The 27,047-nt window shown below is 39.3% G+C and overlaps 1 protein-coding gene across 4 annotated transcripts in view, besides 3 other annotated features; it reads right to left on the bottom strand.

Annotated features, from left to right (window-relative positions):
* The window catches only part of CDK14 (cyclin dependent kinase 14), a 614,270-nt gene that overhangs the window by 142,780 nt on the left and 444,443 nt on the right, over positions 1-27,047 (bottom strand). For all 4 annotated transcript variants that reach the window (NM_001287135.2, NM_012395.3, NM_001287136.1 and 1 more), the window contains one exon: positions 21,851-21,914. In NM_001287135.2, the coding sequence (NP_001274064.1) occupies positions 21,851-21,914 (64 nt within the window). The remainder of the gene's footprint in view (positions 1-21,850; positions 21,915-27,047) is intronic.
* Positions 5,171-5,671: an enhancer, noted in NCBI's record as "H3K4me1 hESC enhancer chr7:90691455-90691955 (GRCh37/hg19 assembly coordinates)". NCBI's record gives its function as "activates a minimal SCP1, AML or CMV promoter by ChIP-STARR-seq in primed H9 embryonic stem cells {active_cell/tissue: H9 hESC(primed)}" and the evidence as "EXISTENCE:reporter gene assay evidence [ECO:0000049][PMID:30033119]".
* Positions 5,672-6,172: an enhancer, noted in NCBI's record as "H3K4me1 hESC enhancer chr7:90690954-90691454 (GRCh37/hg19 assembly coordinates)". NCBI's record gives its function as "activates a minimal SCP1, AML or CMV promoter by ChIP-STARR-seq in naive H9 embryonic stem cells {active_cell/tissue: H9 hESC(naive)}" and the evidence as "EXISTENCE:reporter gene assay evidence [ECO:0000049][PMID:30033119]".
* Positions 16,801-16,860: an enhancer, noted in NCBI's record as "active region_26253". NCBI's record gives its function as "activates an Ori minimal core promoter by ATAC-STARR-seq in GM12878 lymphoblastoid cells {active_cell/tissue: GM12878}" and the evidence as "EXISTENCE:reporter gene assay evidence [ECO:0000049][PMID:35858748]".

Here is a 27,047-nt window from a genome sequence, read left to right as displayed (position 1 = left end):
CCTCTTTTAGAGCTTGACAGGATATGCTAATATAATTTTTTTCCAGAAATACAATGCTAATTTTAGCTGTGCACAAAAGAGACTAAATTGATAGTGAAACATGCCATGTGAGGCATGTTATGAGGTTTTATTCACATAAAACCTTAATTCTTTTAGCAAATATTGCCTGGGCATGTGCCTGTGTGCCAGGTGCTACATTGGGCAATGGGCACATAAAAATAACTAAGTCCTGGTTACAGTTCGGTGGCATTGAAAACTAAATATAGAATTACAGATACAGAATGAAAAATGCTACAGTATGGATACAGACAGAGTCCCCACTAGAGACTACAGCTAGAGACACTAACTGCATCTGTTTCTTTTCCAAATGAAGACAGGACAAACTCAAACACCGGAAGCTAGCTCCAGGAACACACAGAGCCTCATCATTTATATCCAACAGCTTTCAGATCATAACTGCCAAAGTACATGATTTCAAATGGAGGCATTTCTAATGTTTTCTGCCACGAACATGACATTTATAATTAGAATAAAATTTTTATTTTACAAACTACTTCCATCATAAATAAAAGTAATGTTCCATTAGATGAAAAAACATAATTAGCCACGTTAAGTTTTGAAAACAAAAAGGTGTTAAAATTGGTGCCCCAAGTTGACAACAAGCATATTTAATAAAATAGTCAACTGCCTATGAATAATTTTATCAAGAGTATTTGAGTATTTGCATATGAATGTTTTACACTGTTCTCCTTCACTTAAGTTTACTCTCACTTATTACTTTAATGTCAACTTTCTCTTTCCAATTATGTTTAAACTAGAAGTTTAGAATGTCATTATTTAAAGCACTGGCTAACTCACAGCATAACTGAGAAGTGCAATTAATTTGAACCTGCAGGCTGATTTTCACCTTCTCCTCTTAGTGCAGGGACATTGCAGAGGATGATCCCAACACAGCAGGAGATCAGGTAGGAGAGCTTGCCGAGAAGAAATCACTTGCTAAGTGACAGGGCAGGGAACAGAAGATTGGAAAGGTTTTCTCTCAAACCGCCATGCACGTAAGCACTGCAATTCGTTGACATTCCACAGGAAAACAACTGGAGAACAATGCTGCATATTGTAAAGTCCCTTGGCTTAAAAAAGCTACACCTGAAATGTCTTGAGGCACTACAAAGCAAACTTTAACCCACAGGAAGATAAAACCCAAATTGGATTTTACTCATTTGCATATAAGCATGCAGTGTACACTTCAGGAGATTAATTTTAATTTTCCTTATTCTCTTCTCACCAATGTTTTTGTATCTTATACTGCTGTGTTTTTAACTTCAATGACAGAAAGACATGAATAAAAAGTTCAAACAACCAATAAAAAACTTCACATATGTTCAAAGGACTTGAAAGGCTGAAACTAGATTTGTAGCTAACACTTTTCTTTCTTTTTTTGGGAGGAGTGGGAGTGAGCAGACAAAGAGGGGGGTCCATAGAAGGATCATAAAAAGGCTCAAACTTCAGTAGATCTTTTGCAAATGGCTTTGACATCATATAGTATAAACAATACCATGGAACAAGCATTAGTTTATAAATCAATATAAAAATGAGTACATCTAAATGCCACATGAAATTCTAGCTGTTCTTCATAATTAACTCTTCTAAATCATATATTCAGTTACTCACAATTTCAATTTAGGATTATTTTTCGTTGTAACACATGCATTCACTCCTACTGAGCTGGTAAAAAAAAAGTAGCAATGATTTAAGCAAAAAGCCGTGGCCACACTGAAGGGCGCTTCATCATCTGGTAGAGATGCTGAGCCCAGTACCTTTCTGGGGGTTGCTTCCATGAAGGCAAAAGGCTCCAGTCCCTTACAAGGATGAACAATTAACACTGTCATAAATCACTCTGGTTACATTTCAAACAGTTACCCTAATTATTTGTTTATGTTACAAATAACACACTCAAATCCTTTTGGCTAGAAGGCACAGTATTTTATTCATTCATTCTACAAGTACTTATTGTGTGTCTGCAACTTGCTAGGGACTGTGAATACAGTGGGGCAGCAAACATACAAGGTCACAAGTAGCCTCCAACAAATCATGCGAACCAATACTGAGAGGCCTTCAATAGAAGAAAGCTACACTCACAAGTATTCACAAGAATTTTTATGCACACTTTACTTTCTTATATCTGTTAGGAAAACCAAGCCATCAGTGAACACTTCAGTCAACACTCTGATCAAGATATTTTAAAAGCTGAATCTATAGTCCTTGGAACAGAAGTAAAGCAGTATTTGTGTACAGCAGAAAAGAGTTGACCTCAAATAAAGAGGGCCAGACTTTTCCCAAAATTTTAGGATTTTATATATCTTAACTCCCAAAGGGCATGGTGATTCCAACAGGCATTTTAGAATAATATGTATGTTACTCTAAACTGCAATCCACACCTTTAAAACACTTGATATTCCTAAGATATTTAATGGCTCAGATTTGACACAGCCCCAGCATTATCAGTGAGAGGTTTTGATGTAACACATCAATGCTGAACAGAATTGCACTGCCCTGTCACTGCCACCCAGTAGAGCTACCTTAAAATGCTGAGCAGCCTCTTCAGTCCTTTACCCGTGAGGCTAAAGCATCTGAACTTGCCCTGGCTATAGGAAATCATCCTTCAATTACTAACAGCATGCTTTTCTAAATGAGTAATCTTTGAGCAACTTCTGGAAACAAATGTTCTACTGTATTCATTAAACATTATTGCTTGTGATGACATTTGTGTTTCTAACATAGAAATAACATTGTGGGGTTAGTCAATGCATGTTCCCAGATGAGGTCGCCAAACCATCTACACCTTTCTCTACCTAAAAGTCATAGACTACTTCTCTTTCCACAAGACATTTTTCTCTAGAGAACTAAGTTAGGCATTTATTAAAGTCTAAAGCATACTATTCATAAACAAGAACAAATTTACAGCTCCCAGAAAAGAAAGCAGGAGAAAAATGTTGTGTCTCACTCTCTGTGCATCCCCTTCCCCTTCCAAATCCCCCATCCAAACTCTCTAAAGGGGAAGATAGAGCAGCTCCAGAGGATCTGAGTGCTAGATGGGACCCAAGCAACCAAGTGGCCTAACCACTTAATTTACAAATGGGTAAACCGAGGCTAGAAAGGTTGAGTTGCCTGAGGCTGTGATGCGGGCTATAGTGACAGAGACTGAACCAGGACTCTACTCCAGTCTACTCTTACCAAAGAGCTAGGATACCCACGACTCCTATTTGATGTTTAACAGATGTTTCTTGTATCCTCTGTGGTTTGCAAATATGAACTCACTGTAATCCATGTAATAATGCTATGGGTAGGGGTATGATTATCTCCATTTTTTACATGGTGAAATGGTACAGAGACATTGACCAATTTGTCCACATTACACAGCTCATAAGTGACAGAGCAGAGATGTGAACTTAGACAGTGTAGATCTGGAGTCTGTGCTCCTAGTCACTATACCATGACACCCCTCTGGGTCTTAAATGGTAGAGACTTGAAGTGCTACCCTGATAATGCACAAAGCTAGTAGCAGAACAAACAGATCAAAACTCCTTGACCAGCAACGAAAAACATGCATAAGAACATGCATACAAACAAGATTCTCAACATTCCTCTCTCCCAACTCTCTTTCCACCTGCGTCAGAGTGCCTTACCTTTTTAAGTCTAGGAGAATAAATCTGTCTTTTGTTTACAGGGAATGATAAACATATGTCTTTCAAATTCTAGAAACCTTGAACAGATTACTTAATCATTCCATGCCTCAGTTTCCCCATATCTCAAATTGGGATAACAGCAGTACCCACTTCATAGTTACTAGGAATGTTCAATAAGAAAATGCATCTCAAGAGCTGATAAGTCCCTGACACATAAAAAAAACACTCAGTATCTGTTAGCTATTAATATTGCCACTGAAACTATTAATAATAATATACTTGAAAAACTGACCATCTTTTACAGTTATATACTTCAGAAGGAGACATATGGTATATAGAAAGCAGTATTACTCCAGGGAGGGCAAATGCTTCATCTATCCTACATTACTCCTTTTGAGGCAACAGTCAAATGAATAAAATCCACAAATACGTTGATGCTCCTCTAACTCCCGATATATAATCCTGTGATTCTAATACACTAGTGGAGAGTGAGGATTGGCATTCTGAGAGGATGTCAATTGTCCTCCTTTTTTACAGTTGAGAGATTATTAATTGGATTTACAAAGCTGGCTCTAAAGGCATGAGCATCTGTTTACATACATACTTATGTCCTTTTTAAACAATCTCCATTGGGAGTATTATTGTTTGTTAGCTACAAAGGTGCTCTCTGCCAGTGCTGCATGAAGGACAGTGTACGTGAAGGAAATCTTATCAGATCTTACGCCGGAGCGAATAATTAGTAGTCAGTTTATCATCCTGTTGGTCTGACTTTAACATTTTGGGGGCAAAACAGTGCTTCCATCTTAAGTATTGGAAACGAAGTTTTTTTTCTTTCTCCTATATATTAGAATAAGAGTTATTATTCCATAGTCATGCATTTGTCTTGAAGGAGCTATGTGATAATGGCCTAAAAGGATTTTTTAAACAGCAAAAAATGAACTCACTTGTTTTAGCTAGGAGTAGCTGACAAGCCTAGGAGTCAGAACCTACTATGGGAGATGAGATGATTATTCAGCAAATAATCACTCCCTCCTCTCTTCCAACTTTCATGAGTGGATGATACTTCTCTGCCCCACTGACAGTTTGCATAAACAGTGGTAATGACACAAACACAGATTTGAAATGTGACTGTGGCATTACGTCTGCTCTTTTGTGCCCTGCCTTTCACTGTAAGAAGGACATTCTTCCATAGTTGCCACTCCAAAGAGGATTAGAGGGGTGTGGAACATACCTGAACCCAACCTGCAGCTAGAAGCCCAGAAATGCAGGGCCCAGCCAACACCAGCTGAAACCCAGCTCACCACACAGGTGTAGTAATTGCCAGATACTTAGTGGGGTATAGTACACCTTTGGGGTGGTTTGTTTTTGTGTCATGAAACAGTATTTTCCTCACTGAGCTTCGGCTTTGTCCATCTGCCCTGTCTACCTTCCCTAGTGAGAGGACCTCCTGAGATAGCATCCATGAAAGCATTTGATACACAGGAAAGAGCTATGCAATGCAAACTAGCATCATCAGCTATGTGACACTTAAAATTTTTGCCATTATTCTGTGTTTCTAAGAATTTTCAAATGCTGGGGGAGTGGAGCCAAGATGGCCGAATAGGAACAGCTCCAGTCTACAGCTCCCACCGTGAGCGACGAAGAAGACAAATGATTTCTGCATTTCCAACTGAGGTACCAGGTTCATCTCACTGGTGAATGTCGGAGAGTGGGTGCAGGACAGTGGGTGCAGTGCACTGAGTGTGAGCCGAAGCAGGTAGAGGCATCACCTCACCCGGGAAGTGCAAGGGGTCAGGGAATTCCCTTTCCCAGCCAAGGAAAGGGGTGACAGACAGCACCTGGAAAATCAGGTCATTCCCACCCTAATACTGCGCTTTTCCAATGGTCTTAGCAAACGTCACACCAGGACATTGTATCCCACACCTGGCTCGGAGGGTCCTAAGCCCATGGAGCCTCGGTCATTGCTAGCACAGCAGTCTGAAATCAAACAGCAAGGTGGCAGCGAGGCTGGGGGAGGGGTGCCCACCATTGCCGAGGCTTGAGTAGGTAAACAAAGCAGCCAGGAAGCTCGAACTGGGTGGAGCCCATCGCAGCTCAAGGAGGCCTGCCTGCCTCTGTAGTCTCCACCTCTGGGGGCATGGCATAGCCAAACAAAAGGCAGCAGAAACCTCTACAGACTTAAATGTCCTTGTCTGACAGCTTTGAAGAGAGTAGTGGTTCTCTCAGCCTGCAGCTTGAGATCTGAGAATGGACAGACTGCCTCCTCAAGTGGGTCCCTGACCCCCAAGTAGCCTAACTGGGAGGCACCCCCGAGTAGGGGCAGACTGACACCTCACAAGGCCGGGTACTCCTCTGAGACAAAACTTCCAGAGGAACGATCAGGCAGCAACATTTGCTATTCACCAATATCCGCTGTTCTGCAGCCTCTGCTGCTGATACCCAGGCAAACAGGGTCTGGAGTGGACCTCCAGCAAACCTCAACAGACCTGCAGCTGAGGGTCCTGACTGTTAGAAGGAAAACTAATGAACAGAAAGGACACCCACACCAAAACTCCATCTGTACGTCATCGTCATCAAAGACCAAAGGTAGATAAAACCACAAAGATGGGGAAAAAACAGAGCAGAAAAACTGAAAATTTTAAAAATCAGAGTGCCTCTCCTCCTCCAAAGGAACGCAGTTCCTCACCAGCAACGGAACAAAGCTGGATGGAGAATGACTTTGACGAATTGAGAGAAGAAGGCTTCAGACGATCAAACTACTCTGAGCTCAAAGAGGTAGTTCGAACCCACGGCAAACAAGTTAAAAGCCTTGAAAAAAGATTAGATGAATGGCTAACTAGAATAACCAATGCAGAGAAGTCCTTAAAGGACCTGATGGAGCTGAAAACCATGGCACAAGAACTACATGACGAATGCACAAGCCTCAGTAGCCGATTCGATCAACTGGAAGAAAGGGTATCAGTGACTGAAGATCAAATGAATGAAATGAGGCAAGAAGAGAAGTTTAGAGAAAAAAGAATACAAAGAAATGAACAAAGCCTCCAAGAAATATGTGACTATGTGAAAAGATCAAATGTACATCTGACTGGTGTACCTGAAAGTGATGGGGAGAATGGAACCAAGTTGGAAAACACTCCTCAGGATATTATCCAGGAGAACTTCCCCAATCTAGCAAGGCAGGCCAAAATTCAGACTCAGGAAATACAGAGAATGCCACAAAGATACTTCTTGAGAAGAGCAACTCCAAGACACATAATTGTCAGATTCACAAAAGTTAAAATGAAGGAAAAAATGTTAAGGGCAGCCAGAGAGAAAGGTCGGGTTACCCACAAAGGGAAGCCCATCATACTAACAGCTGATCTCTCGGCAGAAACTCTACAAGCCAGAAGACAGTGGGGGCCAATGTTCAACATTCTTAAAGAAAAGAATTTTCAAACCAGAATTTCATATCCAGCCAAACTAAGTTTCATAAGTGAAGGAGAAATAAAATACTTTACAGAAAGGCAAATGCTGAGAGATTTTGTCACCACCAGGCCTGCCCTAAAAGAGCTCCTGAAGGAAGCAGAAACATGGAAAGGAACAATCGGTACCAGCCACTGCAAAAACATGCCAAATTGTAAAGACCATCGAGGCTAGGAAGAAACTGCATCAACTAACGCGCAAAATCACCAGCTAACATCATAATGACAGGATCAAATTCACACATAACAATATTAACCTTAAATGTAAATGGGCTAGATGCTCCAATTAAAAGACACAGACTGCCAAATTAGATAAAGAGTCAAGACCCATTAGTGTGCTGTATTCAGGAAACCCATCTCACGGGCAGAGACACACATAGGCTCAAAATAAAGGGATAGAGGAAGATCTACCAAGCAAATGGAAAAAAAAAAAAAGGCAGGGGTTGCAATCCTAGCCTCGGATAAAACAGACTTTAAACCAACAAAGATCAAAAGAGACAAGGCCATTACATAATGGTAAAGGGATCAATTCAACAAGAAGAGCTAACTATCCTAAATATATATGCACCCAATAAGGAGCACCCAGATTCATAAAGCAAGTCCTTAGGACCTACAAAGACACTTAGACTCCCACACAATAATAATGGGAGACTTTAGCACCCGACTTTCAACATTAGACAGATCCACGAGACAGAAAGTTAACAAGGATACCCAGGAATTGAACTCAGCTCTGCACCAAGCAGACCTAATAGACATCTACAGAACTCTCCACCCCAAATCAACAGAATACACATTCTTTTCAGCACCACACCACACCTATTCCAAAATTGACCACATACTTGGAAGTAAAGCACTCCTCAGCAAATGTAAAAGAACAGAAATTATAACAAACTGTCTCTCAGACCACAGTGCAATCAAACTAGAACTCAGGATTCAGAAACTCACTCAAAACCGCTCAACTACATGGAAACTGAACAACCTGCTCCTGAATGACTACTGGGTACATAACGAAATGAAGGCAGAAATAAAGATGTTCTTTGAAACCAATGAGAACAAAGACACCACATACCAGAATCTCTGGGACACATTCAAAGCAGTGTGTAGAGGGAAATTTATAGCACTAAATGCCCACAAGAGAAAGTAGGAAAGATCTAAAATTGACACCCTAACATCACAATTAAAAGAACTAGAGAAGCAAGAGCAAGCACATTCAAAAGCTAGCAGAAGGCAAGAAATAACTAAGATCAGAGCAGAACTGAAGGAAATAGAGACACAAAAAACCCTTCAAAAAATCAATGAATCCAGGAGCTGGTTTTTTGAAAAGATCAACAAAATTGATAGACCGCTAGCAAGACTAATAAAGAAGAAAAGAGAGAAGAATCAAATAGATGCAATAAAAAATGTTAAAGGGGATATCACCACCGATCCCACAGAAATACAAACTACCATCAGAGAATACTACAAACACCTCTATGTAAATAAATTAGAAAATCTAGAAGAAATGGATAAATTCCTAGACACACACACCCTCCCAAGACTAAACCAGGAAGAAGTTGAATCTCTGAATAGACCAATAACAGGCTCTGAAATTGAAGTAATAATTAATAGCTTACCAACCAAAACAAGTCCAGGACCAGACGGACTCATAGTCGAATTCTACCAGAGGTACAAGGAGGAGCTGGTACCATTCCTTCTGAAGCTACTCCAATCAATAGAAAAAGAGGAAATCCTCCCTAACTCATTTTATGAGGCCAGCATCATCCTGATACCAAAGCCGGGCAGAGACACAACAAAAAAAGAGAATTTTAGACCAATATCCGTGATAAACATTGATGCAAAAATCCTCAATAAAATACTGGCAAACTGAATCCAGCAGCACATCAAAAAGCTTATCCATCATGATCAAGTGGGCTTCATCCCTGGGATGCAAGGCTGGTTCAACATATGCAAATCAATAAATGTAATCCAGCATATAAACAGAACCAATGACAAAAACCACATGATTATCTCAATAGATGCAGAAAAAGCCTTTGACAAAATTCAACAACCTTCATGCTAAAAACTCTCAATAAATTAGGTATTGATGGGATGTGTCTCAAAATAATAAGCTATCTATGACAAACCCACAGCCAATATCATACTGAATGGGCAAAAACTGGAAGCATTCCCTTTGAAAACTGGCACAAGACAGGGATGCCCTCTCTCACCACTCCTATTCAACATAGTGTTGGAAGTTCTGGCCAGGGCAATCAGGCAGGGGAAGGAAATAAAGGGTATTCAATTAGGAAAAGAGGAAGCCAAATTGTCCCTGTTTGCAGATGACATGATTGTATATCTAGAAAACCCCATCGTCTCAGCCCAAAATCTCCTTAAGCTGATAAGCAACTTCAGCAAAGTCTCAGGATACAAAATCAATGTGCAAAAATCAGAAGCATTCTTATACACCAACAACAGACAAACAGAAAGCCAAATCATGAGTGAACTCCCATTCACAATTGCTTCAAAGAGAATAAAATATCTAGGAATCCAATTTACAAGGGATGTGAAGGACCTCTTCAAGGAGAACTACAAACCACTGCTCAACGAAATAAAAGAGGATACAAACAAATGGAAGAACATTCCATGCTCATGGGTAGGAAGAATCAATATCGTGAAAATGGCCATACTGCCCAAGGTAATTTATAGATTCAATGCCATCCCCATCAAGCTACCAATGACTTTCTTCACAGAATTGGATAAAACTACTTTAAAGTTCATATGGAACCAAAAAAGAGCCCTCATTGCCAAGTCAATCCTAAGCCAAAAGAACAAAGCTGGAGGCATCACGCTACCTGACTTCAAACTATACTACAAGGCTACAGTAACCAAAACAGCATGGTATTGGTACCAAAACAGAGATATAGACCAATGGAACAGAACAGAGCCCTCAGAAATAATGTCGCATATCTACAACTATCTGATCTTTGACAAACCTGACAAAAAGAAGAAATGGGGAAAGGATTCCCTATTTAATAAATGGTGTTGGGAAAACTGGCTAGCCATATGTAGAAAGCTGAAAATGGATCCCTTCCTTATACCTTATACAAAAATTAATTCAAGATGGATTAAAGACTTAACCATTAGACCTAAAACCATAAAAACCCCAGAAGAAAACCTAGGCAATACCATTCAGGACATAGGCATGGGCAAGGACTTCATGTCTAAAACACCAAAAGCAATGGCAACAAAAGCCAAAATTGACAAATGGGATCTAATTAAACTAAAGAGCTTCTGCACAGCAAAAGAAACTCCCATCAGAGTGAACAGGCAACCTACAGCATCGGAGAAAATTTTTGCAATCTACTCATCTGACAAAGGGCTAATATCCAGAATCTACAATGAACTCAAACAAATTTACAAGAAAAAAACAACCCCATCAACAAGTGGGCGAAGGATATGAACAGACACTTCTCAAAAGAAGACATTTATGCAGCCAAAAGGCACATGAAAAAATGCTCATCATCACTGGCCATCAGAGAAATGCAAATCAAAACCACAATGAGATACCATCTCACACCAGTTAGAATGGCAATCACTAAAAAGTCAGGAAACAACAGGTGCTGGAGAGGATGTGGAGAAATAGGAACACTTTTACACTGTTGGTGGGACTGTAAACTAGTTTAACCATTGTGGAAGTCAGTGTGGCAATTCCTCAGGGATCTGGAACTAGAAATACCATTTGACCCAGCCATCCCATTACTGGGTATATACCCAAAGGACTATAAATCATGCTGCTATAAAGACACGTACACACGTATGTTTATTGTGGCACTATTCACAATAGCAAAGACTTGGAACCAACCCAAATGTCCAACAATGATAGACTGGATTAAGAAAATGTGGCACATATATAGCATGGAATACTATGCAGCCATAAAAAATGATGAGTTCACGTCCTTTGTAGGGACATGGATGAAGCTGGAAACCATCATTCTCAGCAAACTATCGCAAAGACAAAAAACCAAACACTGCATGTTCTCACTCATAGGTGGGAATTGAACAATGAGAACACATGGACACAGGAAGGGGAACATCACACGCCGGGGCCTGTTGTGGGGTGGGGGGAGGCGGGAGGGATAGCATTAGGAGATATTCCTAATGTTAAATGATGAGTTAATGGGTGCAGCACACCAACATGGCACATGTATACATATGTAACCAACCTGCACATTGTGCACATGTACCCTAAAAGTTAAAGTATAATTAAAAAAAAAGAATTTTCACATGCTGAAAAATTTATATGAATATTCAGATTACCGAACACCATGCTGTTCTCTGTGCTTCCAATATTTCCAGGCACCTAAGAGAGAAAATCTTCATCCTACCCTTGGGTCAACCACTTAGTCACGAATCTCTCATAGTGGTGTGGAATCCCCGGTCAAACTGGACAGCTGTGCAAGCTTTTGGCTTAGTGAAGTCCCACTTCTTCCCTAAAGATACAGTGTCCTACTCAAGGTACTGTGGTCAACACCCACCTTGAAGACGAGGGACAACGTTTTCTTGTTTTACATCCAAACTTCCAATCCCCTCATCTCCCTTCCTAAGATCTTGATTTTTAAAAGTTTTTGGAAAGGGACCTAAAAGTTCAGGGTGAGGAGTTATGGAGGACTTTATACAATGCATAGATTCCTAGTTATATACTTGCCGGCATTAATTTGTGGGAAGGATAAACATAAAACATTAGGTTACAAACTTAGGAAGGCAATTAAAAGTGTACGGCCAGTTTATGGAAATGCCACTGGTATATAACAACTCAACCAAATGTTTTATTTTAAAAGAGATGACAGTTCTTTCAGTATCAAGTAAATCGTCCCTGTCTTCATTTAATTCTGCTATAAATTCTTAGGCTAAAAGTTAAATTCTTTTCTTCAATATGACTTTAACCAAATTATACAAATTGGACAGTATACAAGACTTTTAATACTCTTAGGTGGGTTGGAATTACTGAAGAGGTAAAGAAGTCTTTATATGGTGATTGGCCCTCTATATCAACTTTAGCGATATGAGGTGTGAATAACTCCCAAAATAAATTTTACAAAATTCCAGCGAGTAGAACTAATAAAACCAGTTTATTTGGGATTTTTAAAAATAAGTCTGCTATCAGTAGAACTTCATTTTCCCTTGAAAATTTAATCTTACTACTTTTTTTTCTGGCATTTTCTAGACATTCTGCTAGTCTCCATCATTACTGATGCCCTCTAGTGAAAATAAATGTGAAATTCTTCAAGTACATCCAGACAAAGTACAGATTGTCCCTCCTTTGTACTGAAATGGGTTTACAACATTCCTACAGGGATTTCCCTTCTTAACCTACCTATTGTAGGGGAAATGAATTGCTAATTTTACATTTTTAAGTGATTATCAAGGTTTTTGGTTGTTTCTTTTTTATTTTTATTTCATATCGTTGGCCATATCTACGATTTATTTTATAACAAATCCCTGGTCAGCTATGGACCTATGAGGAAAAATATCCTTTGTGTCTCTGGCATCACTGCTAACTGGTAGGAGAATAATTTCCCTGTGAGTTAGTACTCGCTTTTATAGACCCTTCTTGACCCAGGGCTGCAGGCAGAAATGACCAATCAAGAGGATTTCACACTTCAGATGAAACCTCTTTCCAGCTCTGAAATGAGTCCGTGACTTTTTGTAGCCTGTAGGTCTTTCTGAAAACATAAAGCATTGATTTCTTCCTCTCTTCAAAACCCTCCGATGATTCCACTCACACTTCAAGTAAAATCCTGACTCTTCACCTTGGCTTTCCAAGGACCTGCCCCCCTGAATTGTTTCTTGCCGCTGTCCCTGTGCTCACAGGCATGGTAAGTTGTAATTTGTCTATTATTAGTCCCCTCTCTAGCATGTGAGCTCTGCAAGAAAAAGGATTCATCCGCTTTGTTCAAACTGCATCTTTAGCACCCACAATACTGCCTGGCACCTAGTAAGCACTCAACAGGAATCCAAGCTCATAAGCAGATGTAAAGCAGTTACTGCTGATGCAAACACCGACTCTCAACTTTAGCATCTGCTCTCCAGCAACCACCAGTGACCTCCCAGTATGGCTGGCTCAACCAGAAAGTGCAGTCTGCCCTTCCTGTCATGTTTACATATTTTACTTCCTTAGCTTTATAATGTTCACATAGTTCATAAATTTAGTAATTAACTGGCTTTTTCACTATGTGATTAAAGCAGCATTTATTTGTGGGAGGAGGGACAGCAAAGTTCACAAAGGTGATAGCTGATGGTGGGTGGGGAGAGCTCTAAATACCCTAAGGCTTGTGTCAAGCAGACCCACAAGGCTTTTAGCAATAAAATCTGAGATAAAAAGCAGATATTTACGTAATAATTTTTAAAGTCCATTTTAATAACCATCACATAGTTACAGCCCATACACCTAGACCTAACCCATAATCATTATAGTTGCTATCAATCATAAAAATAATTTAAAATTCCTGAGGTAAAGTGTAAAGAGTAAGTGGGAAAGGAGATAGCAGGCAGAGCACATGGTATATAAATGGTAAAAAAAAAAAAAAAAAAAAAAATTATTTTGCAGTTACATGCCCCTAACAGTTTAAAAGTACTTTTATATCAATTATGTCAGCTAGCTCAAATCTGCTTAAAAATAGGTAGAGTATAAATAACAAATATTGAAGGGAATGTAAAAATAGTTTATCTCATTTAATTTACGTAGCAAGTCTGTAGGCTGGATGGAGCAGACATGACTCTTCTAGAAGAGTAAGGAAGGTATCTCAGCACTTCACAGGCCTCCCCTCACTGCAGGTGTGGTCTGTGCAGGGCAACATCATGGCACAAAGAGCCCCCCCGCAGTCTTCCTGCATGGAATATCCCACCCCGACAACAATTTCTGCTGCATCCACAGCTTTTCTATCACCTTCTAAAAGACTCAGGAAAAGCCAAGAATGTCAATAAAGGCTAAGGGTTCAAACATCCTCACATCTGCAAATGAGGAAAGTGGGCAGTTCCGATAGTATGTGTTAAGGACTACACATCTGAGACTAAACATCTGCAGAGGAGATTTTGGAGCTGATGATTTATTGGAGGCATAGGTTTAAAGGGCGGAAGAATATGCCCATACCTAGCAAGTGGAGGGTGGATCTGGTATGTACAAGAAGACAGAGGTCTTTTCCAAGATGCCACAAGACAGAGTTGGGAAGAGCCTGACAATTCTCCTTCGTAGGTCTAGGTCTGTGGGCAGGGAAGCTCTCTTAAAGAGAGGAGGAGGCATCACTGAGAATGGCTTAGAGTTGAAAGACCTGGGTTTGAGTTTTGGCTCTGCTACAGCCTGGAGGGATGAGATCTCTGGGCAAACCACACTATCTCTCTGAGCCTCAATTTCCCAGTTTCTTCATCTGTAAATGGGATAACAATATTAGGAAAAAAGCATTATTATAATGCAGTTATTCTAACTATCAAATGAGATAATATATTAAAATGCTTTGTAAATAATAAAATATAGCATAAAACGTAAGGTGTTATCACCATAGTATTTTATTTCTGAAATGATTTACTTCCTCCCTCTGGAACAAAAAAGTGTGGACCTGTTTGGTTTTGGGGTCCCAGTCAGGCCAGAGAAGAGGAAGGACTTAAAGAGACGGCTTTTTTTTTTGCCTCATTACAAAGCCTTGATACAGCTAAGTCCGTATGTAAACATTCCCTTTAAGGTCAATGTGTCTGTAGGATTAGTTTTTAGCAGAGTGTGTTTAAAATATCACCATTCCCCAATTGCCTCCAATGGCAAATTCTTTATATTATTTCATTCGTTGGGAGACAGTCCATTTTCTTCAAAGTTTCCTGAATCAAATAGTCTTTTCCATTGGCTAACTTTTCCTTAGAAGTAATATAACCACTTTAGAAATGCTCTATTCTCTTGCTTGATTTTGGAAAATATAATTATTTTATTCTAAATTTCATCACTTTTAATTGCTTCTGGTCTAGCAGCATTTTTTTCCTCACTGAACTTCACAGTGTATTCCTTTTTGAGCATCTGAATAATCCATTAAATAGTTTTTGAATGTACCTTTCCCTTTTGTTGGAAGCATTTGAGAGATGAAAGTATCATACATGGAATCTACACATTATTTCAGTGCTAAACCATTTTATACGAAGTGTTATTGGTGGTTTTGTGTAGATATTTTACCAAATACAGAGATCAGATCCTCCCTACTTCTCTGCTTTTTAAAATAGTCTAATTGTCAGTAAACTGTTCTTTAGCAGGGCAATGAGAAATTGTAATACACATTCAGTAGAATGCTATTTCATAATGAAAGCTGGAAAACAAAAACACAAACACACTCAGGAAGTGAGACCCAGGGAGACCTGGAATCTACTTCCACCTCTGACACTAATGTTAGGGAAGTTCTTTAACATCTCTGGACCTCAGGTTCCTAACTTCACAAGAAGAAAGCCAGACTAGATGCTCCCTGGGGTTCCCTCTAGCTCAAACATTCACTTTGCTTAAGGCACAATCAAACACCACTCGCACTCTCAGCTCATGCAGCCCCAGGGTACTCTTTGACAGCTAGAAATTACAAAGCCTTGACAGAACTCTTCATCCATTACTCTGATTCTACTGGTCTGGAGAACCTCAAATGTCTACGTGTATTCCGCCCTGATCTGGGGTTACCACAATTCTATGAAGCTTAAACAACCCCTCAAACATGCATGCAAGATGCATCTTTTAAAAATGATAAGTCTGTCTTATAACAGCAACAAAAAAATTGCACTGTCACTTTAGCAGAGACATATGAACCACAGCACCTGTCGATGGGATGTAGCAGGGGGTAAACCTGGTAGAAGAAAGTGATCCTGGGATTCACATAGGGGAGCCTCTCATTATCCCAGGAGGAATTTATAGCAGAGAGCCTTATGCAAAAGCCTCCTGTTAGTGAATAACTATGAACCCATGAAAAGGAATATGATTTATTTTTACAGTGGACTCTCACTTTGTGTTAGAGCATGGGTTTGCCTGTGATGAATCTCACACCAAGTTATGGAATTACTGAAATACTGAGAACACCACAGCACAATCTCTCACCTCAAGACTTTCCCACAGCAAGTATCCTGAACACAGTGACAAAAGGAAACACTCTGGAATGAGAGAGTGAGGGAGACACAAGGAGACCTACTTTTAAAAGACCATTAACCACAGAACCCTGAGGGTAAGGGAAAAGAAACAGGAAGGTAATCAGGTTCAAAAAAGAAACAAGCCCATTTTCCATTTCTTTTAAGAGAAATTTAAATAGAAGTAAATGATGGAAAAATAGCAGCTTCCAAGGTTAGACTCTGATATAGTTTGGATGTCTGTCCCTTCCAAATCTCATGTTGAAATGTGATCCCCAATGTTGGAGGTGAGGCCTGGTGGGAAGTGTTTGGGTCATAGGGGCAGATCCCTCATGAATAACTCAGTGTCTTCTCCAGGATAATGAGTGAGTTCTTGCTCTATTAATTCAGGTGAGAGATCTGGTTGTTAAAAAGAGCCTTGTATTGGTGTAATATTTTAATATTTGTGTGTATTACTGTACATATTTTCCCAGAGATCAGATCTTCTCTACTTTTCTGCTTTTTAAAATAGTCTAATTGCCAGTAAACTGTTCTTTAGAAGGACAATGAGAAATTGTGATGCACATTCAGTAGAATGCTATTTCATAATGGAGGCTGGAAAACAAAAGTAAAAGCAAAAGCACACTCAACTAAGACCCACGGAGACATGGGATCTACTTTCACCTCTGACACTAACTTTAGGGAAGTCCTCTCTTCTCTTTCGCTCCCTCTTTTACCATGTGACATGCATGCTCCCCCTTCACCTTCTCCTGATTGGAAGCTTCTTGAGGCCCCCACCAGAAGCAGATGCTGGTGTCATGCTTCTTGTACAGCCTGCAGATCCTGGAGCCAACTGAATCTCTTTTCTTTGTAAATTACTTAGTCTCATGAATTCCTTTATAGCAACACAAATGAGACTTACACAGACTCCTTATTGTATGTAACATGCACATACTTTATAATATATAATACCATTGTGACCTGTTGTAGTTGCCTGGTTGCTATGGGAATATGCTGAGCTTAAGTTTTGTGTAAGCACAGAAGAAGATATACAGGTTATATAGTAAAGAATAAAGTTCAGTTTTTAACTAATTGTTCTTTCACTATTTCAATAATTATTTTAAAAATGTTTCTCCATTTTTGTTATATATTTTTTTTTTCCAAGGGAAAACCATGTTGAGTTCTGGGATAATCATAGGAATTGAAAAAGGGAGGTCATTTTATTCACAGTACATTTCATCGCCTCTCCCCTGGATTCCTGTTATAGCCTCCTAAGGGGTCCCCCTGCTTCTTCTCTGGCCCCCAATTCTCAGTATAATAGCTGGGGTGGTCTTACTAAAACATAAACCAGCTCCTGTGCTGCCTTGTTCAAAATCTTCTAGAGCTTTCTATCTCACTCAGATCAATGGTAAAGGACTCAGGGTATCCCTCAAGGCCCCACGTCGTCTATGACTTCATTATCAGCCCTCCACTCCTCCCCATTCAGGGCATTGGTACTTGCTCTTGTCTCTGCCTGAAGAGTTCTTCCCTCAAATATCTTCTTGGCTCTGTCTCTCATATTCTTCAGTCAAATGTCTTCTTTTCAGGGAGGCCTTCCTTGATTACCCTATTTAAACTGTAAATCACCCCCTCCCCTTTCTCAGAACTTCCTGAACCAGTTTCTTGCTCTATTTTCCTCCACAGTACTTATCACCACCCAATATATGATATATTTCACTTACTATATGTCTCTCCCTGTAAGGATCATTTGCTTTTTGTTCAATGCAACATCTCCAGTCCCTAGACATATAAGTGGTGCTCAGGAAATATTGCTGAAATAATAAGTGTATTTAACTTATTTCATAGACATTAACTAAAAAATAAGTTATTTAAAAAATAACTACTGGGAAATTAGGTTAGCATATGTTAAAACCAAGAGATTTATTCATGGCCTAGATCATAGCCATAAAGCAATACATTTGAAAACCCAAACTGGTTTTTCTTACACAGATACACATATATGAATTTGTACATACACCTATAACAGAAATTGGTCTTTAAAAAAATTGTGGTCAGGCACAGTGGTTCATACCTGTAATCCCAGCACTTTAGGAGGCTGAGGTAGGAGAATCACTTGAGATCAAGAGTTCAAGACTGGCCTGGCCAAAATAACAAGACTTTGTCTCTATTTTTTGTTTTTAAATCATAACTCCACTATTCTAAAAACACCATGGGCTTTTCTTTTCAAGGCAAAACTTATTCAGTTAGGCAAGTCAAGGAAGACAAGAGAGCATAAGACAAGGATTATTTTCAAAATTGCTTAAAAATTAGAAAGGATCATTTTTCAAATCTCAAAGAAGCAAAAGTTTTCATGGACAAAGGGATAATTTCCCTTAAATATAAAGAACTCAGCCAGGCATGGCGGCTCACGCCTGTAATCCCAGCACTTTGGGAGGCGGAGGTGGGAGGACTGCTTGAGCCCAGAGTTCGAGACCATCCCTGGCAACATAGCAAGACCCCTATCTCTACAAAATATTAAAAAAAAAAATAGCCAGACATAGTGGCATCACCTATAGTTAGTCCCAGCTACCTGAGAGGCTGAGCAGGGAGGATCACTTGAACCTGGAAGGTCGAGGCTGCAGTGAGTTGTAATCGCACCACTGCAGTCCCACCTGGGCAGCATCGCTAAAAATAAAATAATAAAATAAAATATAAAGAACTTCTAGAAATAGGTTTAAAAAAACACAACTCAACTGTAAATTGGCCAAAAGATAAAAAGAATTCAGAGAAAAGGAAATACAAATGATCCTGAAACATATCAAAAGATGCTCAACCTCATCACAAGACACATGCAAATTAAAACTTTACTGAAATTCCTTTTGTCATCTAACTGGCAAAATCCAAAAGTTTGGTCACATAGCATAGAGAGGAGAAGCAGCTGTGGGAAGAAGTATTCTCCTGTATTCTGGCAACAGAGACAACAGATACTACCCCTTTGGACAACAGTTTGATGAAAGTGGTCAAAATTATAATTGTCTATACTTGTTGGCTCTTTATCCTTATTTCTCCTAACTTATCCTTCAGAGATATTTACATATATGCAATGTGTATGTGTATGTATAGGCACAAGGGTACTCAATGCATTAATATTTATAATAGCAAAGCACTGGAAACAACCCAACTGTCCCTAATTAGTGAATGGGTTAAATCCAGAAAACAATGGTGCTCTACGAGACAAGAGGGACACCACATTGGCCTCCTCCTTGCAGTGACATGAGAAGATCAATGAGATGCATTAATGAGAAAAACAAGATGAGGAATTGTGTTTAATATGAGAAAACTAAAAATTAATATTAATTTCTTACATTTACATAAAGGAAAGAAATATAAGAATATGCTGAGGGCCTGTGGTGGGGTCAGTGGTTCAGGGGAAGTTGGCAGAGGGGAGGTGGCTCTGCACTACGCTCCTTGTTCCTATTGCTTGATATTTTTAATTGCTTAAATTTATTATCTATTAGAAAATTAAACAAAGTTTGTCCTTATGTCTCAGATTACCTTTTCCAGATTCTCTAGGGCACACTTCGGGGTAAATCAAGGAGCTGGAGAGTGGAGTTGGGACAGGCGGACCCTAGCACTGATATTTTCCTTTTTGGGCTTGTATATTTTCTTCCCCAGGACTATGAGATCTATGAGGTCAGGGACTGGGGCTCCCCTGGATGGTCTGGTAAGTGCTGCTTGGAAGGACTTGGAAATTTGTTTCCTTTGACTCAGTCTGTTGTTGTGTCTCCTCTTGACTCCTCTCAAGCAAACTCAGGAAACACTTATGTGCTGTGGTTCACAGCCCTGAGCTTTGCCTGGAATAACCATCTTGCTCATCACCACCCATGCTTTCCACCATCTTCATATGTTACTTTTCTGTTTCCCCATTACCTTCTATGCATTATGTGTCTGTTGTGGGGCTTACACATAATGTTAATAACTTAAACATAAATATTCTAGTTTGTATATGCCCACCAGAGGAGTCACATACATAATGTCTGTTTTAACATTCAATACGATCAAGTGCAACACACATTTATTGAACACCACATATGTACAATGAACAGTCCCTGGTGTCATGAAGTTCACAATCTGTTAGCTTAATGGGTACCACATCCTCGTACTTTCCAAAATACAACTAATAAATGCTTTTGTATGTTGTTGATGAAGATAAATTCTATTCCCACCAAAACACATAAATTACTCCATGTTTTCTAATCCAGAAACTAGGCTGGCCAAATGATTTCACCTTAATTGTTCCTTTTTGCATCTAACTTTATTCATTTCAAATCTTTTTAAAGTCTCCTGTTTCATTTGCCTAGGACATAAATTTTAGGTCCTAACACAGGGAAGTTAACCTTCTTTAAGAGCCCACAATTGGATCGTTTATAAGGAACTGTGTTCTTCACTCCATTAAGAACACGTGGATCAGTTAGAGGATGCCTCTTAGTTGCTTAAAAAAGAAAGTCAGTCCATTTAAAATTGTTAGGTTTCTATAGTCTTTCAGAACATAGAAGTTATTTAGAATTTCCAGTAAAAGTACAAAGAGTCTTTAGGGCAGCTGAAGAAGATAAAAGAATTCTGAACACACTGCGCACTTTCAGAAGAAAAATATTAAGAGTAAAAATAGTTTCCCAACTCAGTCATTCTTTGGAACTGATAATTTATTCCTGATGGTTCCCCAAAAGAGGGGAAGAGAAGCAAAATAATACACTTGGCTCCTCTAACAGATATTATTCATAGCTCTTTTCCCTCATAGGATAATAGACTATTAGAGCTTCTATAAAATCCCTTTCAGTAATTTTATGGTGGGTCTGCATTTTGTAAGCCATGTTTTATAACTGAGAAAAGAAAAAAAAACACAACAACCAGCAAGAGAATCATTTTACAATAATTCATTCTACTGATTTTATTAAATTTTCAATTCCAAACCTTTCCCTTCTCTTATAAAAATCAGACCATATTTGAGATTCATCTGTTAAGTGTAATTATTAAAACAAAGTTTCACGCCTGACACCTACTGGTGAAAAAAAAGGACAACTTACTTTAAAAGTTCACATTTCTTTCAGATTTTTCAGTGTTCAGGTTTAAATATTTTACATGAAAACATATTGAATGCTGTACAATAGAACATTCAGAGCATCTTACATGTTTAAACTCAAATTATAGACCATATATTTACTAGTTTTGTAAAAAAATAAAAATATGATTTTTCCTTTTTACAATTTAATACTTTTCCTGGTCACTTACTACAAGAAGTGACACAGATGGATTACAGCAACCCAATTTAAATTTTGTTTTTATAGACATGGATGCTAGTCTAACTGATGATGAAATTAATGGTTACTGCAAGATCAACCAGTCAAATAAAATAAAGTATATATGGTGAAAATCATCAGGGATGTCTTTAACTCTGTCTTCACAGACAAATAATTTGTGAAAATAAAAGGACAATTCCATTAATAGACAAAGTACACAATGGCAAAAGTAACCAGAATTTTTCAAGGTGGTATATTGCTTGAGAGGGAACATTTATATACTCACCTTTTGCATATAGGAAGCACCTAGTCATCTGTAATTAATGAAACATACCTGGCTTAAAATGTGGTAAAGAATGAACTCCAGGCCATGTGTCCTCATTTGGTGTTCCAAGAACCTAGTGGAGAGTAGGAGATTGTGGAAACAGCCTTATTATTTCCAAAGCACTCAAAATTCTCAAGTGTAGAAAAATAGTACACTACATATTATGAAACTCTGGTATTTTTTTTTCCATTATCGTATGCCAGAGATTTTATTTCAGTAAAAACAAACCCAGCTAAAGAGCCACCCAAGATGAATCTCTGTGTTATAACAAATACAGCTGAATGTGGTAAGACAAGTTAAATCTGCTATATTTTATCAAGTCCAAACTTAATAAGTAGGCTAAGGAATCAAACAATGAGCTGTCATCTTCATGCTGCTGAATGAAGTTTGTATGTGTCCCTCATGATTCTTTCATGAGCTTTTGTCTTTCACTCCAGTATCACATGTCTCATCATTTAACAGTTCCAACAATTCTTCCATTTCTACCCCACATCCTCTGTCTGAGCATCATAATGTTTCAAAGAGGCAGGGTCGACAGCTTAGAATGCTCAAATTCTCTCATTACAGTTAAAATCTGTAATTACGTGATTTACAGTTTCCTTTTGCCAAAATAATGTTCTTTCTACATGTTTTCCTTTTTCTATCCATATGTCTACCTTCTTTCTCCATCTATTTTTCTATCACTACAATGTTTGATCTGGGGAAAGGAACTAATGGGCAATTTCAGCTCACATGTAACTGGGCACATTCCATTGGAACATTCTGTTCCATGATCTATGGCTCTTACACTCAATGATCATGGCAAATCACTGACTGAGAACAGAGTTTCAGGGTTAAGAACCTAGAAAGGGGAGATTCAGGGTTAAGAGGCCAGGCTCTGAAGACACCTTGAGTTCAAATCCTTGCTCCCCTATTTACCAGCCATGTAAGCTTGGGCTGAGAAATAACCCCACTGAGCTCCAATTTCCTCATCTGTAAACTGGAGGGTGTTAACAGCATCTACCTCAATTGTGTGGAGAACGCTACCTGGCACATAGCACTATGTCAGTATTAGGTATTACTCAAAGAACCCGCAGAAAACTGGGTCTGTTCGGATCAGGGAGGCTCCAGCCATGTGGGAAAATTCAGACTGCCCACTTCTTCCACAGGGACTGTATGTTCAAGGGAGTGCCAGATGGTGTCATTCCAACTATATTGGATAAATGGATAGACAAACAGGTTAGAAAGGGCAAGAGATAAAGCTGGAAACCAGCAGAGGAGAAGAAGGACCACTAGATATTATGAGAGGTGTAAACCAAAAATAAAATTATAAGCCCTTCAACCATCTGAACGGACCCCTCCTCTCAGCCAAAGGCATTCTCAAGTTAACCTGAAAAACCAGCTCAGGCCATGATGGGGAAGGGGAGCTGGACATACCTCATTATACCTGCCTCCTTTCTGGAATTTAGGCACAGCTGACCAGCAGAAACATCAACACAGGCCTTAAGACTGATAGGACAGACTTTGTAAGTCTGTAAATGTAAGAAACATTTACATTCTATTGTCTCTGAAGCCTGCTACCTGGAGGCTTCATCCGCATGATAAAGCCTTGGTCTCCACCCTTTTGGTAACCCCTTTTGGTAACCCAGACATTCCTTTCTATTGATTCCAGGTCTTTAGGTAATAACTCTTCCAAGCAATTGCCAATCAGAAAATCCTTGAATCCACCTATGACCTAGAAGCTCCCACGTCCAGTTGTCCTGCCTTTCTGGACTGAACCAATATACATCTTACATGTATTGATTGATGTCGCATGTTTCGCTAAAATGCATAAAACCCAGCTGCAGCCTGACAACCTTGGGCACATGTTCTCAAGATCTCCTGAGGGCTGTGTCATGGGCCATTGGTCACTTATATTTGGCTCAGAATAAATCTCCTCAAATATTTTACAGAGTTTGACTCTTTGTCAACAGAGGAAATGAAGCATATTCACTTTATCCGAGGATTTGTAGGCACTACTAGGCAATAAGGTAATACAGGGCTCAAATTGTTCATGCATTTATTTACTAGTGGGTGACATGGCAGTGATGTCAGAGTGGCACATATACAGTAAGTGCCAAACTCCCTGCTTCCTACTCTGGTGAATCAGGATTAAATACATGTATTTATGTTCCTGGCTGAAACATGAATCCAGCATCAACAAATGAGAAAATAAAAATTCTTTTAAGACTCATACTTGGTTACTTTTTCCAGCACTAATTAATACTAACATCAATAGATAGATCTACACAAACTAGGTCACATTATTGATGGGCTGGATGACGAAGGGGAAGGAGGCAGGCAAGAGGGCTGAAGAGTTGTAACATGAGAAAAGAGACAAAAGCATTGTCTCTGACATAAACGATTATGATAACAGTGTCTGCAAAAGGCATTTCTCCCTTTCTTTTCAATAATTCCAACCATTATTTCAAGAGGAGACAATTAAGTTTGCAGGCAGCACATACAGCTAATCTGGAAATGCTCCACTTTGTTCTCACTAAAATTTGCATCAAGGACAAAGGAGTTCAACAGTACTAAACTTTAGCAACAAAGGGAGGAAATGTCAGCTCAAAAGCACAATTTGAACACAGCCAATCTGTCACATGTGAAAACAGACCCTATGGAAGTTTTATAAACAATGAAAAGTCCAGCCAGAATCTGAGCCCTGTTCTCTTGCTCCTAATAAAGTACAATTGTTTTCCTGGCTGCCTCTGTTTCTACAATGCTTGCGTTAGCAAAACTTTTTTGTAGGCATTATCCTCATCCATATCCAGTGTTCTGTTTCAAAGTGATTATGATATATTATGGTCATACCATAAAAATTACCAGGAAAGAAACAAATACATTAGACTTTTCTTTTTCAATTATAGGCTTAACTATTGAGATTCCAGACCTCAAACTGTCCTGCTTACAACCCTGAACCATTTACACAGAAAAGGCAAAGTGGGCAGAAAGTGGGCAAAGGAAAAGAATAATTAAAAATTAATTTTGCTTCCTGTAAAAGCCATTTTGGAAAAAATTGTTTGGGTTTAATGTATGATTAGCAATGACTGGCTACCTGTGCACTAAGGAGAGTATGTATGGTCTCTGATGCCAGATTTTCATTTCTATTAATTCACTAACAAGTTCCATTAACAAGACACATTTAAGTTAGAAGAAAAAGAATGTTTTCTAAAAGTCAAAAATTATCTTTTGCAAATGAAACAAAAAGAAAATTGCAACTGAGGTGCCACGAACACTTAAAATGTGGTCCCCAGCTCTGTAAATAAGCAGGTTCATGACACTTGAAGCCCCTTTCCATCTGTGATATACTGAAAAGTCTTCTACACATCCATTTAAGCAGATTTACCCTAAACTTGTGTCTGTGGCTTGTCCATCTCCTGTTTCTTTTATTGGTTCAGCTCTTTATTTGGCTAACACTTATTGTACTCCTCACAGAAGATGTAAGGACTTGGACTCTGCCTTGAAGTGCTCCTGGTCTAGTGATGCAGATGAACAGGGGTGGTGATGAATGGCCTTCAACAAAACAAAGCTGATGGTATGGGAGAGTGAGGTCAGAGCCTAAAGAAGGGAGGCTTGAGTCTCCCTGGGTGCAGGGAGAAATGCTACCGGGAGAGGGTGGTTTAGTGGGAGAGGGAACACTGAGTCATGGTTTGCCAAGTAAAGAAAGGGTGGGAGTGACAGTAGAGTATACGGTTATAAGGAGAGGCTTATATCAGAACACTTTCAGCTCTCCAAATTAACACGATGCTCAGCCCCCGTGTCTTCTCATAGTGAATTCTCTTCCCTAACGCTCTGCCCTAATTTTGCCAGCTGAACTCCTACCTCTATTTGTAGCTTCAGTACAAGGGTCACTTTTTCCTGAAAGACCTTCTGGACTCTCTGGTCCAAGTTACATGCTACCTTTTTGTGATGTCTGAGTGCTTTATGCAAACTTCTATTTAGAACCTAACCACTACCCGGTAATTGCTAGATTACTCATCTGTCTACGCATTGTGGTCCTCAGAGTGGATGATGTTGATCTCTGGATACTTAGTGCACCATGTGCCCGGCACCAGATATGCACCCAGTAAATGTTGACTGACTGAATGAATGAATGGTGTGTCTGGATAACACTGTGGCTAGACTGCAGGTTGGGCTACAGGATGGGAAGGAAGCAGAGGCCAGACGCTGAATTCAAGGAGACTGCATTTTATATCTGTTTAAGGTTTTCACAAATTGCAAGTCACATGACTGGTTGGGGGATTGTAAGTAAAATTCATCAAGGGAGTTGACATCGGCACTTTTCAAAAGATGGAATTCAAGAGAAGATATCAGAGGGCAACATAAATGTAAAGATACATATTGTTTTATGAAACTGTTGTTCAAGTTACATCTTTGTGTGTGTGCATAGTGAGTCATGATGTAAAATGTATATTCTGCTGTTTAAAATCCACTTATATAGGGAAGAAGTTATTAGCTGAAATCAAGAATGCCAGACATAAAGCAAGTTTGGGGGCTGAGGGCAATGAGTTTCATTCTGGATCTATTAAATGTTAGAAATGCCTGCAGGTCAAGATTGGGCAGCTGGAAATACAGGTCTGAATCTTGGGAGAGGAATTTCAGAGGGAGAAAAACATTTGGAACTCTTCAGCACACATATGGTAACAAATAGCAAATGCCAAAATGCAAGCTACAAAATGGTCTCACGTCCCTCTGTTCAGAAATATACAGTTGCCAGAAGTCTTTTCTGTGATTTCTTAGACTATTTAACATCTGTTAAAAAAAAAAAAAAAAGGACAAGCTCATCTTATCCGTGGAGGTCTACACCCCTGACCCTGAGGAACTAAGAGGTAATGATGGCCCCATACTCACTCCTCCAGGTGTGCCTCTGCCCTGGCAGGTGTGGCCCAGGTTCTGCCCGTTATGTCAGCCTCTGTCGGGCAGAGAAGATACTGAGAAAAAGAGGGCCTCGCTGTGAAAATATCTACTCCAAATAACAGGAGAAAAGCAAATTCTAAACTTCTAGAGCTCAGAGTAACTCTAACAAACTAGTGTTTGTCAGAAATATTTACTTATCTTTCTAAACTATCACTAGTTCCACCAATTCTCTCACTTTCTAGTCTTTGCTTTTGCACAGGCCTCAGAGCTGCTCAACAGGAGTCCATGGGCTTTTCCCTGAACACCTGTGATTTAAGTACAACAAGAC

Source organism: Homo sapiens, chromosome 7, assembly GCF_000001405.40.
Source record: "Homo sapiens chromosome 7, GRCh38.p14 Primary Assembly".
Lineage (NCBI taxonomy): Eukaryota > Metazoa > Chordata > Mammalia > Primates > Hominidae > Homo > Homo sapiens.
The sequence above is the reverse complement of the archived record's forward strand: the minus strand, read 5'-3'. Positions and strand labels throughout refer to the sequence as shown.